Here is a 5,991-nt window from a genome sequence, read left to right as displayed (position 1 = left end):
AATGAAAATTGAAGTTAAAAATATTTCCATTTACAATAGGTAAAAATGAACTGATGTTTCAACAATATTGAGTTTTTCAGTCCACCAGCATGATATAGCTCTTCATTTATTTAGGTCATTTAGGATTTCTCTTAGCAATGATTTACAGTTTTGAGTATACAGATCTTTCATATCTTTTGTAAGATTTACCCCTCTGATAAGAGGAATATGCCTCCAAAGATGTGTAGAGCTTAATCATCAGAATCTGTAAATACGTTACATCACATAAGAAAATGGCCCTGGAAGATGTGATTAAGGATATTGCAATGGGGAGGTTATCCTGGATTATCCGTGTGGGCCCAATATCATTGCAAGGGACCAGATAAGCGGGAGGCAGGGGGTCAGACTCAGATAGATGGAGACGTGACTTTGGAAGTAGGGGTCACAGTGATGCCAGGCCATGAGCCAGGATGTAGGCATCTTTGGGGTCATATTCTTCCTATCACAGGAGTACATTTTACAAAATATATGAAAGACAAGTATACTGAAATCTGTAAATCACTGCTGAGAGAAATTCTAAATGTCCTGAATAAATGGAGAGATATATCATTCTGGTGGATTAAAAAACTCAATATTGTTGAAATGTCATTTCTCTCCAAATTGATCTATAGATTGAACTCCATCTCAATTGAAATCACAGTGACATTTCCATAGAAATCTATATGTTGACTCTTATTTAGAAATCATGTGGAAATGCAAAATATCTAGAATAGCTAAAACAATTTTGAAAAAAAATTTGGTGAACTATGGTATCAGATTTTAAGCTTTATCATAGAGCAATAGAAATCTGAAATATGGAATACTGGAATAAAATAGACATAAATGTCAAGGGCAAAGAATAGAGGGCTCAGAAATTGGCCTATACATATACTGTCAATTGGCCTTCAATAAAGATGAAAAGGCAATTAGGTGTAGAAAAGATAGTCTTTTCGACAAAGGGTGATGGAACAACTGGATATCCATATGGAAAAAAAGGGAAACATAATCTATTTCTTATACTACATACAGCATTAAAGTGGATCATGGACCCAAGTGAAAAACCTATAATTACAAAACTTCTAAAAAAACATAGGAGGACATTTTTGCAATTTTGGGTTAGGGGAAGATTTCTTAGATATGGCACCAAAATCACAATCCATAAAACTAAAACATCGATAATTTAAAGTTCAAATGGAAGAACTTTTGCTCTTCAAAAGACACTGTTAAGAGAATGAGAAGGCAAGCCATGGATTGGAGAAGAGTATTTTCAATCATGTATTTGATAAAGGACTTATATTTAGAATATATGAATAATTCTAAAAGCTCAATAATAAAAAAAGTCTAATTTAAAAATGAAAAAGGTTTTTTAATAGACACTTTACCAAAGAATATATATGGATGGCAAATAAGCACGTGAAAAGATGCTCAACATCATTAGTTATTAGTGAAATGTAAACTACAACAAGAATAAGATACCACTCCCCAGATTCACTGTATGAAATGTTGGTGAGAATTGAAAGAACCAGAACTTTTATACACTGCTGATGAAATGTAAAATGGCCCAACTGCTTTGGAAAACAGTGTAGCAGTTTCTTAAAAAGTTAAACACAGCTACTTTATGACTCGGCTATTCCATTTCTAGGTACATACCCATGATAAATGAAAGCATATATCCATAAGAGACTTGTGTGAAATATTTGAAGCGATAGTCAATAACTGCATACAACCCAAATTTCCATCAGCAGATGAGTGGGTAAACAAATTATCGTATATTCATACAATGGAATATTATTTAGTTATAAAAATGAATGAACTGTTGATATGTGCAACCACATGGATGAATCTTAAAGTGATTATGATAAGTGAGAGAAGCCAGACAAAAAAGAGTACAAAATGTAGGATTCCACTTACATAAAATTTTAGAAAATGTGAATTCATCTATGTGACAGAAGTTCTTCTGATTCCTGATCCTTTGTATATTGTATTTCCTGTCTGACCACCAGAAGCTTTCAGCATCCTCACTGTTCTGAAATATGACAATGGTGCACTTTGGTGTGGCTCTAATTTTATCCTTTGTGCTGTAATCTCCACGAGCCCTTTCAATCTGGAAACTTGTATCCTTCTGCTCTGGGAAATGCCCTTCATTTATTGGGTTAGATGATTTCCTCCAGGGATTCCTCTGTTCTCTCTTTCTGGCACTCCTATTGTTTTGATGTTGGACCTTCCCAACCATTTCTAATCTCTTTTCTTCTGTGTTTTTTTCTTCATTTTTACCCCCTACTATCTTCTGAGCAATTGTCCCTTGGGTGTTTGAAGATAGCTCTTGATTGTGAAGAAGGAAAGGACAGGAGAATGGGAAGGAGAGAGGGAGATGAGGGGTGGGCAAGGTGGGGTAGAAGTTCTTGCAAACCTCAGGAGAGGGGCAGGCAGTGGAGATGAGCCCTCTGGGCCATGGAACAGCCTTGGAGGTGTGGTAAGAAGTGCCGAGGGTTCCCCAGGTTCTGATCCGGCTCTTCTGGGGGCACCACATACCCAGAGAGACTGGAGTTGCTCCAGATAGTGGGGGCTTGATCACAGCTGTGCTGGGCTGAGAGATGGGGTGAAACAACCAGAGTCTCTTTCATCACTGGCCTCCAGGACCATAGCATGGCCACGGAAGAGAAGGTTGATCCTTTCCCTTCCCCACAACAGTATTCCCTGGAGAGAACAGTCCTGTGTCCTCCAGCCACCTGTCACCCAACCTTAAGGGTCCTCCTGCTATCCTGGTTGCTCTCCTTTTGCCACATCTCCTGACCCAACCACATCCAGAATGGTATTTTCATGCAGCTGGACTTATTTCAGTTGCAGGCCTCCTCCTTCCCCCGAGGCATTGTGCCTGTGCCCAGGGGATGCCCTTGCTGTATCTGCTCTGGTTTCAAAGCCTTTCACAGGTCCAGGAACCTCCCATTGTGTTTGTGGCTGACCTGACACCAAGTCCCAACACCATAGGCTTGCCTGTTTCTACCATAGAGGATGGAAAAATCTCAGTACCCACTCTCCCAGTCTCCTTGCAAACTCAGGCCAGCTTGTTGCTCCCTTCTTTTCTTCCTGCTTTGAATGTGCTCTTGGTTCCTGGATCTGTGATGGCCATGTTGTGACTGTGAGGAGGAGGCTACGAAGTCGTGATTGTTGAACCATGAGACGCATGTCAGGGAACACCTCCCTTCAGGTTTCTCCTTAATGTAAGAAAATAACCCCTATTCTTTAAGCCACTATTAGTTGGATTTTCTGTTACTTGCAGCTAAATGCATTCCTAATTGATACACTGCATTTTAGGTGTGGTTAGTAAACAGCAGTCTCTGGATGAACCCCTCCCCTTTATCCAGATGAAACACACTTGTTCTTCTTCTAGGCCTTGGAGGATGCTCTTGATTGGTGTGGCTGGTATGTCAGCCCTCTTCCACACCCACCTGGGTCTGTCCCAGTAAGGACTGTGTAGACATATTTGATCCCCATCCTCAAAGAGTGGCCTGGCGGGGACAAGTTAACCAGTCAGTCACTCAAAGACAAGGCAGGAGGTTGTACTTACTCACCATCACCCATGGTCAAAGTCTGTGCTTCCAAAAACAAAAAGTAGGGCCACATGGGCCACACATGAGTCACTCAGGAAGGAAGATGGGCAGGCTGGTGTGTCAGGAGTGGAAATGCACTCTCCGTGATTGGTGGAGACACCCGTCAACTTTTCTGGCATTTCTATTTATAGCTTGTAGGTTGGGTCTCCTCACACCATCTGAGATGGAAGGTCGATGTATTAGTCTGCTCTCATGCTGCTAATAAAGACATACCTGAGACTGGGTAATTTACAAAGGAAAGAGTTTATTAGACTTACAGTTTCACATGGCTGGGGAGGCCTCACAATCATGGCAGAAGATGAAGGAAGAGCAAAGTCATGTCTTACATGATGGCAGGCAAGAGGGCATGTACAGGGGAACTCCCCTTTATAAAACCATCAGATCTCATGAGACTTATTCACTATCACAAGAACAGCATGAGCAAGATGCACCCCCATGATTCAATTACCTCCCACCAGGTTCCTCCCAAGACACATGGGGATTATTACAATTCAAGGTGAGATTGACACCTTGATATAGATCTATAGATAGACACAGAGCCAATCTATATCACAGGGGAAGAGAAGTCTGCACCACCATGGGTTGGAGCTAACAGACTCTTCTTCTGAGGTGTTCAGAGTGATTGAGCATCAGCCTTGGAAAGGACCTTGGAGGCCACCTGGGCTCAAGGCTTGCCATCGCTTCTGCCTCTGCTCTGCTACATTCCCTGTAGCTGCATGGATGACCTTGTATCAGAGCAGCCTCCTGCATGGAAGGTGGCCCCTGGGGGAGGGGCTGCGCAGCTGTGCGCCTCTGGGAGCTCATGTGCTTCTGCTGAAATCTATGATTTATGGGAATGTTTATAACCATCCAGGCTCTGGAACCTCTCTGGGCTTCGGAAGGCACACACTGGGGGATCCCATAGTGACAGCCTGGCCTAGAGCCTGTCTACTTTGAGGGTGGGGTATTGTCCTCTGTGGGAAGACCTCAGCCCCAGGAGGGGGGCTCTGTGTCTCCTTGGGGAAAGAATGCTGGGGCTCATTTGGAGAGGGCCTGGGAAGAGCCAATGGCACCTGGGATTCAGGATGAACACTTGCCACTTTCCTTCAGTGAGAACAGCTTCGATGGCTTAATTTCCCCCATCAGGTAGGGAAGGGGGGTGACTGTGAAGATGAAATGCTGCAGGAGAGGATGAGCCAGGGAGATGTGACCTTGTTGTGGGCGGGGAGAGTTAATGCAGGATTCTCTTCCTGCAGACAGAAGCCTGGTGTTAGACCGCATGTTAGCGGTCCCACTCCCTGCCTCATGGTGCAGCAGGGAAGGAGGGGGCTGGGCAGGCTGGGTGTGGGTCCCAGCCTGCCACTTTCTTGGGATGTTACTTCTCTAATTACATTTTTGATGGATGAGCTTTAGGTGAAGGGGACATTCCCAGCACAGAGCTTGGCACCCTCGGGCATCCCGTGGCAGCTTGCAAAATCTCTAATAGGAATGAAAAAGAGGCACCATGAGAACCCAGGGGATGGAGCCGGTCACCAGGGATGGGAAGGCCAAGGGTGGTGTTGGGAGGGGTGAGTGAGGTCAGCCTGGAAGGCGGAGGAGGATTTCCTGGGGCAATTGGGGAAGGTGAGGCTGGAGGGCTCGGGAGCTGGGTGGGGCAGTGCGTCTGAGAAGGAGGAGCCAGGTGTGCCGCGCTGCTTGCTGGTGGTTTTAGGGTGAGGGTACCATGCCCAACCTGGACGTGGCAGTTTGTTGATTGGATGATTATCACAAGAAGAAGCGAGCCATGTTCATAGGAGGCAAATCCGGGCTCCTGTCTGGCTCAGGAGAGGCTCCAAGAAGCAGCTGAGGGGCTGGCCTCTCAGGGACAAGCTGAGGCCCATAGGGAAGACAGCATGGAAGGAGGTGACCAGAGAACACGCTGGCCTCTGCTGGAGAAGGAGAGCAGAGGACCCTCCTGTTCAGAAGAGTCTGTCATCTTCATCCTGTGTGCAGCTCTTAGTACAAGTGGGGCTGGGATCTCTCCCCACAGCGGGCAGTGAGGTGGAGGTAGGAGGTAATAATAATCACAGGAGCCTTTGTGCCAGTTACATCACTGAAGGGTCATTATAGCGTTTATTCTCACAATAATTCCTTGATCCAGGTATGGGTATCATTCCCATTTTATGGACAAGAAAACTGAGGCTCAGAGATGTTAACTGCCCAGAGATGGGCTGACTCTTGAGAGTGAACATATATTGAGCACACACTATGCGCCAGGATGGCGCTTTGCATCTGTTACCTTGCTGGTCCTCACAACAGCCCCGTGCGGTAGGGCACTTTTGTTGGCAGTTTGTTGATTGGATGATTATCACAAGAAGAAGCGAGCCATGTTCATAGGAGGCAA

At 44.9% G+C, this 5,991-nt stretch overlaps 1 annotated feature.

Annotated features, from left to right (window-relative positions):
• Positions 5,243-5,744: an enhancer, noted in NCBI's record as "H3K4me1 hESC enhancer chr10:125958373-125958874 (GRCh37/hg19 assembly coordinates)". NCBI's record gives its function as "activates a minimal SCP1, AML or CMV promoter by ChIP-STARR-seq in naive H9 embryonic stem cells {active_cell/tissue: H9 hESC(naive)}" and the evidence as "EXISTENCE:reporter gene assay evidence [ECO:0000049][PMID:30033119]".

The sequence above is a fragment of the Homo sapiens genome, chromosome 10, assembly GCF_000001405.40.
Source record: "Homo sapiens chromosome 10, GRCh38.p14 Primary Assembly".
NCBI classification, from domain to species: domain Eukaryota; kingdom Metazoa; phylum Chordata; class Mammalia; order Primates; family Hominidae; genus Homo; species Homo sapiens.
The sequence above is the reverse complement of the archived record's forward strand: the minus strand, read 5'-3'. Positions and strand labels throughout refer to the sequence as shown.